Here is a 23149-nt window from a genome sequence, read left to right as displayed (position 1 = left end):
AAAAAAGAAGAATAGCCTGATATTCATGCTGCATAATGTTATTCAATAGTTAAGTTCACAACACTACCTATAAAGTATACTTTTTCCTATTTTCTTTAATGTTATTGCAGTATGATTTATGCACAGCAAAATATACTAATCTTAAGCGTACAGTTCTGTACCCCCAGAAAGTTCTTTAGTGCCTCTTCCAAGGCAACGTGAAATTTGCAAGAAATATGGGGGACAGAGGAACAATTTAAATGACATCATGAGGAAACAAATCAGCCAAATTCAGAATGTGGAATGCAGTACAATGACCCAGTTTTTCTGATGGCATAGTAAAACAAGCTTAATAAACAGCAACCCAAAGCAATACGTGGAACTTGCTTGGGTTGTAAATTGAATAAACCATTGTAAAAGGACATCTTTCAGACAACTGAGGAAAACTCAATGTGGACTGAACGTCAGAGTACTGAAAAACTATTCCTAATGTTTAAAGGTATGATGATGGTTTAGTTGTTACGTGGTTGTTAGAGGGACATGCTGAAGTTTTCATTGGTAGAATGAATGATGTGAGGGATTTACTTTAAAATACTTCAAAAAATAAAGTGGTAAGGTATATGTTAAACAAAACTATCAAAATGTTGTTCATTTTTGAAGCTGGGTGATGGGTTCATGGGGGTTCATTATACTATATGCTCTGTACATTTGTATACATTTATCAGTTTCCACAATAATGTCTTCAAAATTCTGCGTGTCAAGAATTGCCTGTGAGCTGACACCTGAGGATGCAGAAACTATCAGGCCACCTATTCCCAAGCACTCTTGGAGTTCTAGTTGAGGGACATGGAGTATCCAAGCAATCTCAAACACCTGCAATGGAAACTGAGAAAATAGCCAATTCTTTTTAGTCTCAATAGTGCTTAGAATATAGAATATAGTTAATGTTAACTATAGGGATATTAAAAATTATTTTTATTATTATAAAGAGCTTTAATAGTATATTGATATCAATTTTTAACAGAAAAATAAAGAATTATGTCTGCTGAAATAAACTAAGGGTTTTAAGTTTCTTCCCTGCTTCTCCAGTACCCTATCCGTATCAGTCACAAGATGCACATAAGGCAAGCTACATGATGTTAAGAAGTATATAGCAAACAGAATGTTTTTAATGTTTGTAAAATTATGCATCTACTAAATTTCTGATGATCAAATGGTTATCTTTGTCACACACGTAAACATGCTATGTCACCAACTATATATTTTATTTTCAAATTAGAGAGCTTCATCAATCTATGAACACAGTATTTCAGAGCTAAAAGGGACCTTGGAGATTGTTCTCTTTAGCTCTCTTAAGTTAACAAATGAAGAAACTGAGGGTCAGAAAGCTAAATGTGATTTTTTAAAAGCCAGTACTATTTTTTAAACTACAGTTTCCTCTCAGTTGTAAAATACACTGTAAGACATATGTCAACTTAAAAGCTTTTGAGAAAAAATTATACTAAATGTACATTTCAATTTTGAGATGCATCCTTATTTTTCAGAGCCTCAAGACTTGAAAAGTCATGCACGTTAGATTTGAAGAAATGCAGTATTCCAAAAATAGTTATTCTTTAATACAGTGGTTTAAACTAAACTTATTCTCTTCTAGATACACAAAAAAATGATAATGTTTATACATGGTACACTAGGAGGATACACAGCCTGAGGTAACCAGCCTTCTGGACCTAGGCTGAGATAATCACACTGGTTAGGAAGTTCTGGTTTAAACCAACTATATGATATAGATTTTTAATTAAATGACAAACTTTAGAATTTAGGACTTTCATAATTCTCAACCATAAGCTACTTTAAAATCCTTTTATATTAAATAGACATATATATAAAAATATATGTAATAGCTATCAAAATACTAAAGAAGTGCTAGTTATAGACATATACCAACTCTTAAATTTAACTTTTTGAAGACTGTATTTATCTTCTTGGCTTTTAATATGGGTCTTTTCCAATTGTCTCATAATACTTCATTTGTTCTCTATCTGTTTCCACCAACAAAGTATTTGATATAGAGAAAATACTACTTACTCTGATTCCTTTTGGTCCTGGTGGCCCTGGAATTCCATCATCACCCTGAAAAATGCAATATTTTTAGGTTTTTGTCCGTCAAAAAAGTCCTCAAATAACTCATTTTCAATTATAAAATAGGAGATTTAAACTACTGTAAACATCTGTGAAAGTTAGTGAAAAACTTATACACCCAAGGAAGAAGCATTTATTATTGAGACTGAAAGCACTGAGGTAAATTGTATGACCCAAAATAAGAAAGGCCTTTATTTCCTGAGAAGGAAATCGCTGACATATGAATCAAACTCTATACCTGTACAGTTAATTATGAATCATACAAGAAAACAAAGATAAAATATTGATATAGTCATTCCCCAAATAATTTATTCGTAAACAAAATAGGAGCTGAAAATCTGGGCAGTTCCCATATTATGTTAATCTGCTTGCCATGCTGGTATAATGAGCATCATCTCTGAGCCTAAATATGTGCTGTTCTTGAATTTGCTGTTTTCAAACCTCTGCTTTGTTTTATAATGCACTTTGTATTGGCAGAGCGTAAGAACGATTTAAAAAGAACCATAAACTTTCCTTCCTAGCTGTCAGTTCCATGCAAAAGAACCTACCCATGTGTGTATGTTAACATATGTACCCATTTCTAGTCACAACCGCATTGCTGAGAATTTAGTCTTACCTCACTGAGTTTTCGTTAACTATTTTCTTTAAAAAAATAGAATTAAAAAACCTAATTCTGCTCCAAGAAAAAGGAACTTTTAATAGCAAAAAATTGAAACCTACCTAAATAATCATCAATAGGGGACTGGCTTAATAATTTATGGTTTATACATACAATGCTAAGTTATGGTTCATATATACAATGAAATACAATGCAGTTATACAAAATGAGGAGGTTCTGTATATATTGATAATAGGATGTCTACAATGTATATTAAATTAAAAACAAAGGTCAAACAGTGTGTTTAATGTGCTACTATTTTACAAACAAAGGTGGTTAAAGTGTGTGTGGGTAACTCAGGGACTAATGGACACAGGTGAGAAGGAGATCTTTCATTGTATACCCTCTTAACTTGAGTGACATGAACGTACTGCCTATCAAAATTAACTAAATTTGATTTTTTAGAATAAAAAACCTTTGGAAAATTGCGAGTGTGCATATTAAAGAATACTCCTACAAGTTTTTTGACTTAGTATATATGTTAACATACACATGTACCAGAATACCCAATCACATAAAAGGTATAAATTCAGCCATTTGGGGAAACATGGAGTCATACTGGATGCAGAAGTACACAATGCTTCAAATTCAGAATCCTGAAAGTTTAGAAAGCAGTTTACCTTCTCTCTTTTTAGATAACTGAAATGAAATCACAAAAAAAGATTGGACTGCTTTCTAAACTTAACCTGCATACAAGCACACCTTTATAAATGATCATGTTATTGTAGAATAGTCCTAGTTAATACTAAATTATTTCAAAGGAATTCTAATTTAGGTAACTTATTTTAATTTAATACAAATCTTTATTAAAACTACCATCTCTCAGCAAGCATGGGGTGCAAGAAACTCAGTCCCTAATCCCAAGTAAACTCAGATACAAGAAATGTAACTTTTCCTGTAGCTTAACTTAATTTCTCTTCCAAAACACCTATTTCTATAACATGGCTGAAGTTTAATCTCAGTCCATTGGAGTTGCCACCTCATTTTCACAAGATCGTGTCTAAGTTTTGGAGAACTTAACTAGCTCCAATATGTTGAGGAGTGTGACAGTGTAGTCCAAGCTGGTATTCATTGAGTTGTTCCATGCCAATAGTATGCATAGATTGCTGCCAAGTTACTGCTCAATTCCATCCACTTGACTCTTTCAGATATCTCTGATACTTCTGTGCTACTCCTGGGTGCACAAGAATCATTCTGTTGCTCTTGCTCTTGATGTGCCATTAGACACAGGAAATTCAGCTGAGTAGTTCATCCACCAAAATTGTATGCACACATTCAGGGTCCTGCTGTTTTCTAAGTACTAAAGTTCTACTTGGGAAATTTAGCACAGGTCCCTTCTGCTCTTGAATCTAACAAAACTACCTGATGTAATCCTATTTTCCCAGAGATCATGACCAACATTCTCCCCAAATCTAAGCTCTGATTATAGTTAAGTGTTAAAAAATATTCATGCATTTAAATTAATTTTCTCCCTTTACTGGAAGACTACCTGGTGAGTATCCATTTGATTTCCTTAATATTGTAACAACATGATGTACCACCATCATATAAAATAATAAAATTAAGAAAAAGGGTTTTAAGCCAGTTTTCCTTTCCAGGCAAATGAGGAGAAGTAGCCCTTTCATATATCAATTCATCAGTCTACCTAATACAGATGGAAAAAGGCACTAAGCCAAAAGAGTCATTAAAAAAAAAAACCCAGAAAATTCTCTGAGTCTTAAGTTCACTATTATCTCTTCCAATTCTATATCTTAATATGCACATTGAGATGCTATTCTTGCTCATGGTATAGGACAGACTGCCCACATGGCAGTCAAAAGACAGAGTCCCCACAACTGATAGGTTGAGACTACCTCCAGATCCATGAGCTGATCCATGGGGCTGATCCATGGGGCTGGAAGGTAGGGATCTAACCTCTCTTCCCTTTCTCCTACAGACTAACCTTGTGACTTCCACCTTACTAAATTCATTGATTGCCTGTCCCGGGTAGTTCACAAGATTCTGATTTTGACAAACTAATGGATATGTCACCTATCGCTGAACCCTGCAGATAAACATCTGATTGCTGTGCTGCTGAATATTACGAATGGACGTTTCTCTAAACATGGACCATTTTAGTACTTCATGTACCCTAACTTTATTACACTGGATCTGACAGATTGCAACAATTGACTCTGATACCACAGGAAGAAAATACCTCCTGGGATGTCAGCTCACTCCTGTCCCATATGGAAGCAATTGAATTATCTGGGAAAAGGGACATATGATCTGCCATTGGAGCCATTTTGGCCTCGATGGTGGTGGCAATTTATTTCTCTATTTCTGCCTCCACCTTACACAAATTTTTCAATTCCACTCAAGTACTCTGCTCACCAGGAGGGACTTCTGGCTGGTTGATCTCCATGGTAACCAATGACTCTTACATTCCCAGAACTGTGTGCACTCTTCTTGGGGTATTATTTCTTTTATAAAAATCAGGCTTTCAACATTCCTACCAATGTAACATACATAATAGGACATTGATAAGAGATACTCAAATATTCAAAACAGTCCCTCCCATTAAGCATATAACATTACATAAAACAAAATGAGAACTCCAAAACTAGATAGACTCCGGTTATTCAGGAGAATTGCCAGCTGGCATTACCTACTGTCTACTCATGGGAATACTCCAGACAACTTTTCTCACTGTGAGCATCGCTCAATTAGAAAAGGTTGTCCGCAACCTGTCTTTGACCCTTGCTGAGGTCATTAATGACATTACTTCAGCTTTGGAAACAAAACAGACTAGCCTCAACTCCTTGGCCCACATAGTGTTAGCTAACCATATAGCCCTTAGCTGCCTGCTGGCCAACTGTGAGGGGTCTCTGGAATTGCCAGCACCTCATATTGCACCTAGATCAATGAAAACTGGCAAAGTAGAACAATCCATCATAAGACTTAAGAAAAAAGCCTCCTGGCTCTCTAACGTAGATCAAGTGGGCTATGGGACATCTATTACTGGCTTGGCAATAGCTGGGGCTCATGCTTACATTCAGTTCTCCAAGCAGGCCTGTTCATCCTGCTTAGAACATGATTGATCATGACCATAATCTACTGTGGCCTCAGATATTATCCTGTTTTTTGACAGAGCCCTTTAAAGTCCAACCCATTCAGGTCCATGATGGGGCAGCTTATGTTTCTCACTCAGGTCCTGAAAAATCAAGGTATGGAATTGAGAATATGGCTCTTGTCTAAACACCTATGACTGTTCGGGTCCAACCAAAGTCCTCTTGGTAGGCCTCATAAGGGACAGCTACCCTCCACACAGCAAACTTGGTGCACAGCTAATGCACTGCAATCTCTGAAGTATCAGTCAAAGATTCAGGCTACCATGGCTGGCTGTGCTCAACTGCATTTCTGCATTTAAAGGCCTCTTTTGGTGGAGACCTTCTTATGAGAGGAGAAAGAAACCATAAAAATACTTTTTCTGCACTCTGATTCAGTACGTTTCCATCCTAGCTCTTCTCCTTCTCCCACCCTGCCCCTGGGTCCATACAACTGCAGGAGCTTTTCGTTCTGAGCTCCCTCAGCAGTCAAATGATTTCCAACATCTGTGCTGATCCATCTGACCTTTGCTGATGCTGCACCATGGGGACAAATAGAACAGTGGGGGAGTCAGCACTTTCTCCAGTTTAACTTTCTGCTTATAATATTGCAGTAAGTGAGTAAAGGTTTGACTGTTACTTTCATTTTGGCTTCTTCTCTTAATCAGCTACTCTAACAACTGGTAATTCAGCTCTCTCCAGCTCAGCTAAGCTCTTGACAGAACTTAATTTTTGTGAAGGCAGCCAATAACTACAAACAATCAACAGCATCTTCCAAAAGCATCTGAATATGGCAGTAATATTTAGTTTTTTAACAAAATACAATAAAGTACAGACTCCCCGTCATTCCATTGTTTCATTTACATATTAGTTTCTTGCTATAATTCAGTAACTTTTTAGTTGATGTGACACCTAGTCCCACATTTAAGATGACTTAATTCATCTGGCATTACTGGTTGGCAACATGATACATACCTTTTGTCCCCGAGGCCCCGGAGGCCCTTCTGGACCTGGAAATCCAGGCAATCCTGGGTGTCCTTCCAAACCTGGAAACCCTCTCTCTCCCTGCAATTAAATGAGAATGAAAGGTAAGGTCATTTGTGAATTTTCAAGCACAGGCATGGTTGAGATTCAAAAAGATCACATGACTATCTAGACAAAACTAACTTAATTTAATTATGTAAATTCACAGTATCTACTAACATGGGAAAACCTGTTAAGATGTGGGGGGAGAAAACACAAACCGTCTGGAAGTTATATCATATGTGGTAATCTCTTTCTTTCTTGTAAAAGTAAAAAGCATATCAGAGATGAAATGAGATTTAAACATACTGACATCAAGAGTTTAATAGGGAAGATAGCAATAAATCCAGGAAACCAGATCTGTAAGGGTTACATTAAATAAGTATGGAGCAGGGAAGGGTAAAAGGAAACCATCAGAGAAGCTCCCAGACTTGAAATTAACCAGAAAAAAACCTTCAAAACATCAAAACTTTTATTACTTTTTCTAATTGTAAAATTAATACTAAAAATGAATACATATTCAATGTAGAAAACAAAAGTATAAAGAAAATACCACCATTAATTCCTTTACTCAGAATAATTACTTGAATTGTGACTCAGGTCTCAGTTCTAACCGCAGCCTTTATCATCACCAGGACAGGAAGACTGCCTATCTACCAGTGAGGACCCATCATATCTTATCAGCACCTTTACAGTAGGGTTGCCTGATGTGAATATCTGTACAGTCAGAAAGGTGGGGAAGCAGAGCCAGCATGTGTACTAATGCTATTTGGATTAACATATTAGGGTTAGTTAATCTGCATATAGCCAATCCTAGTAAGGGTGTAAACTCCAAAACTAGGGGATCCAGTTACACAAAGATAATTCATCACTATGAAGTTTAAGAACCCCGAAGGCTCAGAATGATGGTTTCCAACTTTAAAAAACCAAACACCGCATGTTCTCACTCATAGGTGGGAATTGAACAATGAGAACACTTGGACACAGGAAGGGGAACATCACACACCGGGGCCTGTTGTGGGGTGGGGGGAGGGGGGAGGGATAGCATTAGGAGATATACCTAATGTAAATGATGAGTTAATGGGTGCAGCACACCAACATGGCACATGTATACATATGTAACAAACCTGCAGTTGTGCACATGTACCCTAGAACTTAAAGTACAAAATATATATATATATAAAAGAACCCCGAAGGACAGCTTCATGGCACGTGCTCCCAACTACAGGGTTACAAGTAGTTCCTCCACTTTTCTAAGGCTCGAAGGCTGCCTCTGGTCAGACCTCATTCTGGGAACCCTCTTAACAGATCCTACCCACAGTGACAGCCTGGACAGCACGTGAGAAAGAGAAAGCATCCATATCTACTAGGTGGCTGACTAAGGGGCCATTGAAGACACATATCTCTAGAGGTTAAGGTACAGCACACTTTTATTTCTACTCTGAAAGTGTGTGTGTGTGTGTGTTTTGTAAGTACTAAGTTTAGTCTAAAAAGCTTAGATGATTTTATGCTGAATAATTCAACAAACATCCTATAATAAATATAAGTACTTTGAAAAGACTACTGGTCAGTTTCCACTTTTCATTTCAAAGTTAATGAAGCTAATTTTAGTCAATTAATGATAGATGGCAACATTCCTGTAGTTTTGACAATAATTATTACTGACATATTACTACACTTCTTATTTTCTAGACATATATCCCCTTGTTGTTTTAATTAGTGTTTAAATTATGATAATTTAGTATTCATCAACCTCAACACAATTGTTTTTGAGGAAATAAAACAAGAGGAAGAAATTAAAAGTTTTAAAATTTTTAGAGCTAGATTCCCTCAAATTATTACTGGCAGAGCTAGTAGTAGAAATCTGATCACAAGTTTCAGTCAGAAAGAAAGCACAAAGGAAAAAAAATCTAGTTACAGTAGATTTTCATGAGGGGAAAACAGGTACATTTTGGGATCTCAGCTGGTATTTACAGCATATCTCTGCCAAAACTGGAGGATAATACTTGAAGAAAGCCATATTTTCTCAGAAGCAAAACTGCTATCTCGCCTACAGATAAGAGAGGAATAAGCTAAAAATTTTAAGTGGAGGTGCTAAAAAGCTTAATTTTGTTGATATTAATAAAACCATATACCTATAAATGATATATCCTGAAATCTCCTTGCACTACAGTCAAATAATATCATGGTCCTATCTAGCAGAGTGAGCAATATTATAGTAAAGAAGAGAGAAGGGCAACTACCAGACAGTAGCAAAAGGAATTCAAAGATCAATACCACAGCCTTTGAAAGGTACTAAGGTTACTAAGTAGAAATTATAGAAGCCTTGAGCGAGGATGTGGTGGGGATGGGATCCTCCACCTAATTCCTAATACATATGGTAGGGAAGGTTGACGTTTGTTGTTGCCTACTCTTTGCTGCCTGTTGTTAGGCACTCGTTTAATCCTTACAACTACTGTAGATTTTCCTGTAATTTGCTAACACTCACAAACAGAAAATGGCTATTTCTAAAGGTCAAACTTAAAAAAAACCGGTTTATGCTGCCTGCCCATATTTGCATAAAAATATCATTCGTATTTTCCTTTGTGCAATAATATTTCTCTCTCTCTGCCTATCCTTTAAATACTGGTATTACACTGGATTCCTTTTTTGATCTTCTCTCTCTTTACCCGGGAATCTAAAATATCAACTCTTTTTACTAAAAAACTAGGCTCTCATAGGCAACTGTCTGAAACATCTTCACTTGAATGCATACAGGCACCTAAAACTCAATGACAATAATAATAGCTAACATGTATTTAGTGTTTTCTATATACCAAATAATTACTCTAAACTCTTTCCATGTTTTATCTTATTTAATACTCTCAATGATAATATGAGGTAGACATTATTATTTCCATTTTATATATGAAGAATCAGGACAAGGAAAAATTTTGTAATTTTCCTAAGAACAAACTTGATATAAACAACACTGAATTCATGTTCTACTGTCTTCTCCATTCCAGGAAATAGCACAACCCAACTACCCCAGCCAGAAATTTGTAATAACTTTAACTCCCCTCGAATTACTACTTCATTAATCAATTATATCTTCTTCAACTTTGTATTCTTAGTGCCCAACAGAACAAATACTCAGTAAATTCTCATTCAATGAATAAACTTCCTTAATGGATTAAATAAAATATATGGCATACACTTTTGTCAAAAGTTAAAAACATGTAAGATTTAGGGCTAGGGGAAATTATACAAAGGATAACTTTTAGTGGTTTATATATCATTTATTAAGAAGAATAAAAATCTAATGTACTGAGAAGTAGACTAGTTTGTGAGTTAAAGGCATCCATAAAAGTGTTACCATCTTCAGGAAGCGCACTTTATAATGACAATAAGACAGTTGTATAATCATGCCACTTTAAAATAAAAAAGCATTTTAAGAATAGTTTCTCAAGGAAGAAAAATTAAACAGGAAAATATTAGAATTCTGAGGATAGGAAAAATACAAAATAGGACAAACTGCTGTAATAATAATTGAGATTAAAATTACTTCAGATTATAATATTGTAAAAATGCAGACATTATATGAACATATTTATATAAACATGTGGAGAAGGCAAGACCCTTAATGAATAAATGAAAATGATAATTTAATTAGGTAATGCAATTATAGGCAATTCGGTTCTCTTTTTTGCATAATACCTATTTTGTTTTTGTAGTTATGTAGAACTAGAAATATTTGATGTATTACAATTGGTAGAACAAGAAAATAGACCTTTGGCGACTGTCAAAATGGAGATACTCTAAGTCAGATATAAAACTTTAGCTTGCATTAGAACCACTTGGAGACCTTATTAAAACACACATTACCTGGCCCTGACACCAGAGTTAGATTGAGTAGGTCAGCTGCAAAGCTTGAGATTTAGCATTTCTAACCAGCGCCCAGTAAATGCTGATGCCACTGACAGAGGCACACTTTGTTTAGTTAATGTTTGATTGTGTCACAGATTTTACATTGTCAACTGGTTAACTTGATCTCATCAGGGGTCTAGCAAGTTTTCTTTGTTTATTAATATGCACTTGGACACATTTCTTTTAGGGAAATCTAGATGTTTTATTTCTATGTTAAAAACATATGTTTTAAAAGCAGTTTTACTGAAGTATAATTAACATAGAATAAATCATACATGCGTAGAGTATACTATTTTAAAAGTTTGGGGTTTTTTGTTTGTTTTGGGGGGTGGTTATTTGAGACAGGATCTCACCTTGTTGCACAGGCTGGAGTGCTGTGGCACAAACACAGCTCACTGCAGCCTATACCTCCTGGGCTCAGGTGATCCTGCCAGCTCAGCCTCCCTGAGTAGCTGGAACTACAAGTGTGTGCCACCATGCCCAGCCAATTTTTATATTTTTTGTAGAGACAGGGTTTCACCATGTTGCCCAGGTTGATATCAAACTCCTGGGCTCAAGCGATCCACCTGCCTCAGCCTCTCAAAGTGCTGGGATTACAGTTGTGAGCCACCATGCCTGGCCAAAAGTTTTGACACATATATACACCAGTGAAACGGATTTGGCTCTGGGTCCTCACCCAAATCTCATCTCGAGTTGTATACCACATAATCCCCAAGTGTTGAGGGAGGAACCTGGTGTGAGATGACTGGATCATGGGGCCAGTTTCCCCCACACTGTTCTCCTGATAGTGAGTGGGTTCTCACAAGATCTGATGGTTTTATAAGGGGCTCTTCCCTCTTTGCTCCTCACTCTTCTCTTTCCCGCTGCCTTGTGAAGAAGGTGCCCGCTTCCCCTAAGCCTTCTGCCATGACTGTAAGTTTCCTGAGGTCGCACAGCCATGCGGAGCTGTGAGTCAATTAAACTTCCATTGTTTATAAATTACCCAGTCTTGAGTATTTCTTTATAGCAGTGCAAAGATGGACTAATACAGAAATCATCACCACAATCAAAATAATGAGCATAGCCAATCCATTACAAAAGCTTCTTTGTGCCCATATCTTCCTTATGCCTATATCCATCTCCCTACTCCTACCCACCCCAGGCTATTAGAGATCTGCTTTCTGTCACTGTAGATTAATTTGCATTTTCTAGAATTTTATATAAATGGAATTATAAAGAATGTACTCTTTTTGTCTAACTTTTCAGTCAGCATAATTACTTAGAGATTCAAACTTGTTATGGTGAATATCAATAGTTCATTACTTTTTATTGTTGAGTAGTATTCCATTGTAGAGGTATACTGCAATGTGTTGATTCATTTACCTGTTGATGGGAAGTTGAGTTGTTTCCAGTTTCTGGCTATTACAAATAAAGCTACTATGAATTTTCAAGTACAAGTTTTTATAGGCATACGCTTTGATGTCTCATGGGTAAATGCCTAGGAATCAACAGGGTCATTTAATAGGTGTTTAACATTTTATGAAATTGCCAAACTGTGTAGATCATTTTCCACTTATACCAATAATCTATAATTGTTCCAGTTGCTTCCACATTCTCATCTATACTTGCTTTGGCTAAAAGTTTTTATTAGATATTCTAACAGGTTTATGGTGGCATCTCATTGTGGTTTTCTCTTGCATTTCCCTAATTAATAATGTTGAGGATCTTTTCGTGTATCTATTTGCCATCTATATATCTGCTTTTATTTAAGTGTCAAAATATTCTTCCAATTTGTTTATAATTAAATTTTATGTGGAGCTGTATGTTTTATTATTAAATTTTTAGAGTTCTTTATATATTCTGGATACAAGTCTTCTATCAGATATGTAATTTGCAAATATTATTTTTCCTGCACTGTGGATTATCTTTTTATTCTTTTAACAATACTTTTAGAGGAGAACAAGTTATTACTTTTGAGGAAATACAACTTAACAGTATTTTCTTTGGTGGATCGTGTTTTTGATATCAGATCTAGGAAATATCTGCCTAACCCAAAGTCACAAGGATTTTCCCCTTTGTTTCCTCCTTAAAGACTTTAAGGTTTAGATTTTACATCTAGGTCTATGATGCATTTTGAGTTAACTTTTATATAAAGTGTGAGCCATTTTTGTGCATACGCATATGCAACCCTTCCAGGACTATTTATTGAAAAGACTTTCTCCACTACCTTTGCATTTTTGTCAAAAAACAGATTCACTATTTACCTGTGAGTCTCTATTATGTCCCATTCATCTATATGTCTATCATTTGGCTAATAGCACACTATCTTGTTTACTGTGGTTTTATACTAAGTCTTGGAATTGTGTACTGTAAATCCTCCAACATTGTTTTTTATAAAAGCTGTATTTGTATTTCCATCTAACTCTTAGGATCAGCTTGTTAAATTTGTAGCCCCAGAAAACCACAAGAATTTTGATTGGAGTTGCACTGAATCTATAGATAAATTGGGGCCAATTGTCAACTTAACAATATTGAGTCTTCCAATTCATGAATATGATATATATCTCCATTTATTCAGGTCTTCTTTTATTTCTCACCGCAATATTTTTTGTAGTTTTCAGGGTATGAGACTTGCACATTTTTGTCTGATTTATTCCTAAGTATCTCAAATTTTTGTTGTTATTTTAAATGGCACTATTATAATTCCAATTTACTACTTTTCATTGTTAGATTATGGACATATGACTGATTTTTTTTCAAATGTTCATAACAACTTTATTCATAATATTCCCAAATTGGAAAAGAAAAACAAAAGCAGATGTCTTTTAATGGGTGAATGGTTAAACAAACTTTGGTGGATCCATACCATGGAATACTAAGCAATAAAAAGGAAATAACTATTGATACATGCAGCAACTTGGATGCTTCTCAAAGGAATTATGCAGAGTGACAAAAGTCAGTCTTAAAAAGTTACATACTTTATGATTCCATTTGTATAACATTTTTTTTTTACCTACTTTTAGGTTCGGGGGTACAGGTGCAGGTTTGTTACATGGGTAAATTGCATGTCACTGAGGTTTGGAGTACAAAGGATCCCATCACCCAGGTAGTGAGTGTCGTACTGATAGGCAGTTTTTCAACAGTCTCCCCAACATCTTCCCCCACTAGTAGTCCCCAGTGTCTATTGCTGCCATATTTATTTCCATGTGTACTCAATATTTAGCTCCCACTTATTAGTGAGAACATGTGGTATTTGGTTTTCTGTTCCTGTGTTAATTAGCTAAGGATAATGGCTTCCAGTTGCATCCATGCTGCTGCAAAGGACATGATTTCATTCTTTTTTATGGCTGCATAGTATTTCATGGTGTATATGTAGCACATTTTCTTTAGTCCACCACTGATGGGCATCTAGGTTGATTCCATCTTTGCTATTGTGAATAGTGCTGTGATGAACATATGAGTGCACGTGTCTCTTCAGTAGAATGATTGCTTTTACTTTGCGTATACACCTAGTACTGAGATTGCTGGGTTGAATGGGAATTCTGTTTTAAGTTCTTTAAAAAATCTCCAAACTGCTTTCTACAGTGGCTGAACTGATTAAAGAATCTCCAAACTGATTTCTACAGTGGGTGAACTAATTTAAATTTACACCAACAATGTGTAAGAATTCTCTTTTCTCTGCAACCTCACCAACATCTGTTTTTAACTTTTTAATAATAGCCATTCTAACTTTTTAATAATAGCCATTTTAACGGAGACAATGGTATCTCATTATGACTTTAATTTGCATTTCTCTGATGATTAGTGACATTGAGAATTTTTTCACATATTTGTTGCCCATATGTATGTCTTCTTTTGAGGCGTATGTGTTCATGTCCTTTGCCCATTTTTGAATGGGGTTATTTATTTATTTATTTATTTTCTTGCTGAATTGTTTAAGTTCCTTATAGATTCTGGATATTAGATCTTTGTTGGATGCATAGTTTGCAAATATTTTTGCACATTCTGTAGGCTGCTGGTTTACTCTGTTGATAGTTTCTTTTGCTATACAGAAGCTCTTTAGTTTAATTAGGTCACACTTGTCAATTTTTGTTTTTGTTGAAATTGCTTTTGGGAACTTAGTCATAAATTATTTCCCAAGGCCAATGTCTAGAATGGTATTTCCTATGTTTTCTTCTAGGATTTTTATAGTTTGAGGTCTTACACGTAAGTCTTTAATCCATCTTGAGTTAATTTTTGTATATGGTGAAAGGCAGGGGTCTGATTTCATTCTTCTACATATGGCTAGTCAGTTATCACAGCACCATTTATTGAACAGGGAATTATTTCCCCATTGCTCATACAACCGATTTTTATTTACTGATCTTAGTTTGTTGGTTTTGTTTATTCTGTGATCTTTCTAAACTCACTTATAAGTTTTAAGAGTATTTTAGCATATGTCATAACATTTTCTACATTGAAAAATCATGTCATCATCAAAAAAACAAAAAAAATTATTTCTTCCTTTTCAATACGGATACTTTTTCTTTTCTTTTTCTTGTCTTACTGTACTGGCAATGTTGAATAGAAATGGTGAGAGCAGATGTTCCTGAAGTTAGGAGAAAGGAACTCAGTCTTTCTCCATTGAGTACAATTTTAGCTTTAGGGATTTGGCATATGCCCTTTAAGGTTGAGGAAATCTCTTCTACTCCTAGTTTACTAAGAGTAATTTTTATTAGAAATGGATATTGAATGTCATTAAATGCATTCTTTGTTATCGATTAAGATAATTATTGGGGGTTTATATATTTATGCTCTAAATTTTGTTTTGGTCTTTAATATAGTGAGTCACAATTTTTGATTTTCAAATGTTAAACCAAACATGGATTCCTGGCATAGATCCCACTTGGTCACAACCAATCATCCACTTTATATGTTGTTGGATTTGATTTGCTAAAATTTTAATAATTTCTGTATCTATGCTCATGAGGGATACTAGTCTGTCGTTTTCTGTTTCTGTAATTTTGTCGTTGCTTGGTTTTGGTATCAGGGCTTTGCTTGCTTCACAAAATTAATTGGAGGGCATTCAATATCCCTCTATTTTCTGAATAAATTTATGCAAGATTGACACTGTCACTTGCAAAAATGTTTCATAGAATTCATCAGTAAACTCTTCTGGAACAGGAATTCTAAGTTGGAAGGGTTGATAATTCAACTTCCTTAGTATATATAGGGCTAATTTATATTTTGCTTCTTTCTTTCACTCACGCATTTATTTGTTTTTGTTTTTGGTAATGTATGTTTCTTAAGGAATTTGTCCATTTCACCTAAGCTGTCAAATTTATTGTTACAAAGTGATTTATGATAGTCCCTTATTGATCTTTTAATGGCTGTAGGAACATTCCTGATATGGGTAATTTGTGTTTTCTATTTTCTTATCATCTTTTGTGCTATCAATTACCAAATTTTGACTGTGTTTTCTATTTTTTTTGTAGTTAATATATTGTTACTTTTGTCTTTATTATTTCCTTCATTCTCTTAAATTTAATTTGCTTGTCCTTTTCTAGCTTCTAAAGTGAGAAACATAGGTCACCAATGTTAAATCTTTCTTCTTTTCTAACATAGACATTTAAATCTATTTCCCACCTATGCCCTGCTTTAACCCCATTCCAAAATTTTCAGTTTTCAACAATATGTAACTAAAATCATTTTCTAATTTTCCTTGATTTATTCCTTGGTCCAGCAGTTATTTAGAACAGTGCTTTCTAAATTCCAAATAGTAGGAATTTTCTACAAATATTATTATTTATTTCTTACTCATTCCATTGTAATAAGAGAATATACTGATATTTTTAATCTTTTGGTATTTAGAGGGTCTCATTTTGTGACCTATCACATAGTCTACACTGGTGAAAATTCCTTGGCTCTTGAAAAAAATTATATTCTGTAGTTGTTTGATGTTGGGCTCTTTTTATGTCAATAAAGCCTAAGTTGTTAAGAGTGGAACAACTGAAATAGGAGTGTTAGAATCACAACCATGATTGTGGATTTGTCTATTTCTCCCTTTAATTCTCTCAGTTTTGGCTTCATGTATTTTGAATCTCTGTTGTTACACTTGAAACAGTGCTTTCTGTTAAATAAATAGAGGAAAAGAGATATAATCCTCTTATATTTACCCGCATTTACACCATTTCTATTACTTTCCATTCCTTCCTATAAATTCACACATCCATCTAGTGAGATTTCCCCTTAGCCTGAAGAAATTTCTTTATATTTATTTTAATGCAAGCCTCTTCATGAATAATTCCCTATTTTTATTATGAGAAAATGTCTTAAATCTGCCTTTATTTTTGAAGTATATTTTAACTGTATATAATAATTGTGCTTGCAAATTTTTTTTTAGCTCTCTAACGATGTTTTCACATTGCTGTACATTATCCAATCTTTTTGATGAGAAGTCTGTCATCATTCGTATAATTGTTCCACTATACACGGTGTAAATTTTTCTCTAGCTTTTTTCAAGATTTTCTTTCAATCTCTATTTTTTCAGTAGTTTCATTATGATGGGCCTAGGTATAGTTTTCTTCGTTTTTACTTTGCTTGAGGTTTGCTGGACTTCTTATATCTGTAAATTTATACTTTTCACCAAGTGTGGAGAATTCTTGCCATTCTTAGTGCCCCATAATTTATTCTTCTTTTTGCTTCCCTGTTCTTTCTCTCCTGTCCTTAGAGGACTCCATTTATATTTGTATTAGACCATTTGACACTGTCACAGAGGTCACTGGGGTCCTATTCTGTTTTTTCTTTTTTTCATTTTCTCTTCAGTGCTCTTCAGATTCAGTTGTTTCTTCTGATTTATCTTTAAGATTACTGACTATTTCTTCTGACATCTCCATTCTATTGTTAAGCCCATAAGGTCAATTGTTTTTTCTTATATTCTGCTTTTCAAATATAAATTTTCCTTTTTAAAATACAGTTTCCAAAATGGGTGGTTCCAAGATGGCTGAATAGGAACAGCCCCAGTCTACAGCTCCCAGCGTGAGCGATGCAGAAGACAGGTAATTTCTGCATTTCCAACTGAGGTGCCAGGTTCACCTCACTGGGGATTGTCAGACAGTGGGTGCAGGACAATGGGTGCAGCGCACCGAGCGTGAGCCAAAGCAGGGTGAGGCATCGCCTCACCCGGGAAGTGCAAGGGGTCAGGGAATTCCCTTTCCTAGCCAAGGGAAGAGGGGACAAACGGCACCTGGAAAATCGGGTCACTCCCACCCTAATACTGCACTTTTCTGATGGTCTTAGCACATGGTACACCAGGAGATTATATCCCGTGCCTGGCTCGGAGGGTCCTAAACCCACGGAGCCTCGCTCATTGCTAGCACAGCAGTCTGAGATCGAACTGCAAGGTGGCAGCAAGGCTGGGGGAGGGGCGTCTGCCATTGCTGAGGCCTGAGTAGGTAAACAAAGCAGCCTGGAAGCTCAAACTGGGTGGAGCCCACCGCACCTCAAAGAGGCCTGCCTGCCTCTGTAGACTCCACCTCTGGGGGCAGGGCATAGCTGAACAAAAGGCAGCAGAAACCTCTGCAGACTTACATGTCCCTATCTGACAGCTTGGAAGAGATTAGCGGTTCTCCCAGCATGGAGCTTGAGATCTGAGAACGGACAGACTGCCTCCTCAAGTGGGTCCCTGACCCCTGAGTAGCCTAACTGGGACGCAACCCCCAGTAGGGGCAGACTGACACCTCACACGGCCGGGTACCCCTCTGAGATGAAACTTCCAGAGGAACGATCAGGCAGTAACATTTGCTGTTCACCAATATTCACTCTTGTGCAGCCTCTGCTGCTGATACCCATGCAAACAGGGTCTGGAGTGGACCTCCGGCAAACTCCAACAGACCTGCAGCTGAGGGTCCTGACTGTTAGAAGGAAAACTAACAAACAGAAAGGACATCCACACCGAAACCCCATCTGTATGTCACCATCATCAAAGACCAAAGGTAGATAAAACCACAAAGATGGGGAAAAAACAGAGCAGAAAAACTGAAAATTCTAAAAGTCAGAGTGCCTCTCCTCCTCCAAAGGAACGCAGCTCCTCACCAGCAACAGAACAAAGCTGGAAGGAGAATGACTTTGAAGAGTTGAGAGAAGAAGGCTACAGATGATCAAACTTCTTTGAGCTAAAGGAGGAAGTTCGAACCCAATGCAAACAAGTTAAAAACCTTGAAAAAAGATTAGACGAATGGCTAACTAGAATAACCAATGCAGAGAAGTCCTTAAAGGACCTGATGGGGCTGAAAACCATGGCACGAGAACTACGTGATGAATGCACAAGTTTCAGTAGCCAATTCGATCAACTGGAAGAAAGGGTATCAGTGATTGAAGATCAAATGAATGAAATGAAGTGAGAAGAGAAGTTTAGAGAAAAAAGAATAAAAAGAAACGAACAAAGCCTCCAAGAAATATGGGACTATGTGAAAAGACCAAATCTACATCTGATTGGTGTACCTGAAAGTGATGGGGAGAATGGAACCAAGTTGGAAAACACTCTGCAGGATATTATCCAGGAGAACTTCCCCAACCTAGCAAGGCAGGCCAACATTCAAATTCAGGAAATACAGAGAACGCCACAAAGATACTCCTCGAGAAGAGCAACTCCAAGACACATAATTGTCAGATTCACCAAAGTTGAAATGAAGGAAAAAAAGCTAAGGGCAGCCAGAGAGAAAGGTCGGGTTACCCACAAAGGGAAGCCCATCAGACTAACAGTGGATCTCTTGGCAGAAACTCTACAAGCCAGAAGAGAGTGGGGGCCAATATTCAACATTCTTAAAGAAAAGAATTTTCAACCCAGAATTTCATATCCAGCCAAACTAAACTTCATAAGTGAAGAAGAAATAAAATCCTTTACAGACAAGCAAATGCTGAGAGATTTTGTCACCACCAGGCCTGCCTTACAAGAGCTCCTGAAGGAAGCACTAAACATGGAAAGGAACAACCAGTACCAGCCACTGCAAAATCATGCCAAATTGTAAAGACCATTGATGCTAGGAAGAAACTGCATCAACTAACGAGCAAAATAACCAGCTAACATCATAATGACAGGATCAAATTCACACATAACAATATTAACATTGAATGTAAATGGGCTGAATGTTCCAATTAAAAGACCCAGACTGGCAAATTGGATAAAGAGTGAAGACCCACCAGGGTGCTGTATTCAGGAGACCCATCTCATGTGCAGAGACACACATAGGCTCAAAATAATGGGATGGAGGAAGATCTTCCAAGCAAATGGAAAACAAAAAAAGGCAGGGGTTGCAATCCTAGTCTCTGATAAAACACACTTTAAACCAACAAAGATCAAAAGAGACAAAGAAGGCCATTACATAATGGTAAAGGGATCAATTCAACAAGAAGAGCTAACTATCCTAAATATATATGCACCCAATACAGGAGCACCCAGATTCATAAAGCAAGTCCTTAGAGACCTAGAAAGAGACTTAGACTCCCACACAATAATAATGGGAGACTTTAACACCCCACTGTCAACATTAAACAAATCAACAAGACAGAAAGTTAACAAGGATATCCAGGAATTGAACTCAGCTCTGCACCAAGCAGACCTAATAGACATCTACAGAACTCTCCACCCCAAATCAAAAGAATATACATTCTTCTCAGCACCACACCGCACTTACTCCAAAATTGACCACATCATTGGAAGTAAAGCACTCCTCAGCAAATGTAAAAGAACAGAAATTATAACAAACTGTCTCTCAGACCACAGTGCAATCAAACTAGAACTCAGGATTAAGAAACTCACTGAAAACTGCTCAACTACATGAAACTGAACGACCGGCTCCTGAATGCCTACTGGGTACATAAGGAAATGAAGGCAGAAATAAAGATGTTCTTTGAAACCAACGAGAACAAAGACACAACATACCAGAATCTCTGGGACATATTTAAAGCAGTGTATAGAGGGAAACTTACAGCACTAAATGCCCACAAGAGAAAGCAGGAAAGATCTAAAATTGACACCCTAACATCACAATTAAAAGAACTAGAGAAGCAAGAGCAAACACATTCAAAAGCTAGCAGAAGGCAAGAAATAACTAAGATCAGGGCAGAACTGAAAGAGATAGAGACACAAAAATCCTTCAAATAATCAATGAATCCAGGAGCTGGTTTTTTGAAAAGATCAATAAAACTGATAGACTGCTAGCAAGACTAATAAAGAAGAAAAGAGAGAAGAATCAAATAGATGCAATAAAAAATGATAAAGGAGATATCACCACCGATCCCACAGAAATACAAACTACCATCAGAAAATATTGTAAACACCTCTACGCAAATAAACTAGAAAATCTAGAAGAAATGGATAAACTCCTCAACACATACACTCTCCCAAGACTAAACCAGGAAGAAGTTGAATCTCTGAATAGACCAATAACAGGCTCTGAAATTGAGGCAATAATTAATAGCTTACAAACCAAAAAAAGTCCAGGACCAGATGGATTCACAGCCGAATTCTACCAGAGGTACAAGGAGGAGCTGCTACCATTCCTTCTGAAACTATTCCAATCAATAAAAAAAAAAGGGAATCCTCCCTAACTCATTTTATGAGGCCAGCAGCATCCTGATACCAAAGCCTGGCAGAGACACAACAAAAAAGAGAATTTTAGACCAATATCCCTGATGAACATCGATGCAAAAATTCTCAATAAAATACTGGCAAACTGAATCCAAGAGCACATCAAAAACCTTATCCACCACGATCAAGTGGGCTTCATCCCTGGGATGCAAGGCTGGTTCAACATACGCCAATCAATAAATGTAATCCAGCATATAAACAGAACCAAAGACAAAAACCACATGATTATCTCAATAGATGCAGAAAAGGCCTTTGACAAAATTCAACAGCCCTTCAGGCTAAAAGCTCTTAATAAATTAGGTATTGATGGGACATATCTCAAAATAATAAGAGCTATCTATGACAAACCCACAGCCAACATCATACTGAATGGGCAAAAACTGGAAGCACTCCCTTTGAAAACTGGCACAAGACAGAGATGCCCTCTCTCACCACTCCTATTCAACATAGTGTTGGAAGTTCTGGCCAGGGCAATCAGGCAGGAGAAAGAAATAAAGAGTATTCAATTAGGAAAAAAGGAAGTCAAATTGTCCCTGTTTGCAGATGACATGATTGTATATCTAGAAAACCCCATCGTCTCAGCCTAAAATCTCCTTAAGCTGATAAGCAACTTCAGCAAAGTCTCAGGATGCAAAATCAATGTGCAAAAATCACAAGCCTTCTTATACACCAGTAACAGACAAACAGAGAGCCAAATCATGAGTGAACTCCCATTCACAATTGCTTCAAAGAGAATGAAACACCTAGGAATCCAACTTACAAGGGATGTGAAGGACCTCTTCGAGGAGAATTACAAACCACTGCTCAACGAAATAAAAGAGGATACAAACAAATGCAAGAACATTCCATGCTCATGGATAGGAAGAATCAATATCGTGAAAATGGCCATACTGCCCAAGGTAATTTATAGATTCAATGCCATCCCCATCAAGCTACCAATGACTTTCTTCACAGAATTGGAAAAAACTACTTTAAAGTTCATATGGAACCAAAAAAGAGCCTGCATCGCCAAGTCAGTCCTAAGCCAAAAGAACAAAGCTGGAGGCATCATACTACCTGACTTCAAACTATACTACAAGGCTACAGTCACCAAAACAGCATGGTACTGGTACCAAAACAGAGATATAGACAAATGGAACACAGCAGAGCCCTCAGAAATAATACCACACATCTACAACTTTCTGATCTTTCACAAACCTGAGAAAAACAAGCAATGGGGAAAGGATTCCCTATTTAATAAATGGTGCTAGGAAAACTGCCTAGCCATATGTAGAAAGCTGAAACTGGATCCCTTCCTTACACCTTATACAAAAATTTATTCAAGGCAGATGAAAGACTTAAATGCTAGATCTAAAACCATAAAAACCCTAGAAGAAAACCTAGGCAATACCATTCAGGACATAGGCATGGGCAAGGACTTCATGTCTAAAACACCAAAAGCAATGGCAACAAAAGCCAAAATTGACAAATGGGATCTAATTAAACTAAAGAGCTTCTGCACAGCAAAAGAAACTACTATCAGAGTGAACAGGCAACCTACAAAATGGGAGAAAATTTTTGCAACCTATTATCTGACAAAGGGCTAATATCCAGAATCTACAATGAACTCAAACATATTTACAAGAAAAAAACAAACAACCCCATCAAAAAGTGGGCAAAGGATATGAACAGACACTTCTCAAAAGAAGACATTTATGCAGCCAAAAGACACATGAAAAAATGCTCATCATCACTGGCCATCAGAGAAAT

General features: G+C 36.5%; 1 protein-coding gene across 9 annotated transcripts in view; it reads right to left on the bottom strand.

Annotated features, from left to right (window-relative positions):
* The window catches only part of COL4A5 (collagen type IV alpha 5 chain), a 257708-nt gene that overhangs the window by 131555 nt on the left and 103004 nt on the right, over positions 1-23149 (bottom strand). For all 9 annotated transcript variants that reach the window (XM_047441810.1, NM_033380.3, NM_000495.5 and 6 more), the window contains 2 exons: positions 6838-6927; positions 2065-2109 (listed from right to left, as the gene is read on the bottom strand). Coding sequence is in view for 8 of the 9 variants with exons in the window: in NM_033380.3 (NP_203699.1) it covers positions 2065-2109; positions 6838-6927 (135 nt within the window). In the remaining variant the exon portion in view is untranslated. The remainder of the gene's footprint in view (positions 1-2064; positions 2110-6837; positions 6928-23149) is intronic.

This window comes from Homo sapiens, chromosome X, assembly GCF_000001405.40.
Source record: "Homo sapiens chromosome X, GRCh38.p14 Primary Assembly".
Classification (NCBI taxonomy): Eukaryota; Metazoa; Chordata; class Mammalia; order Primates; family Hominidae; genus Homo; species Homo sapiens.
Note: the sequence above shows the minus strand (reverse complement) of the source record. Positions and strands in the feature narration are given on the sequence as shown.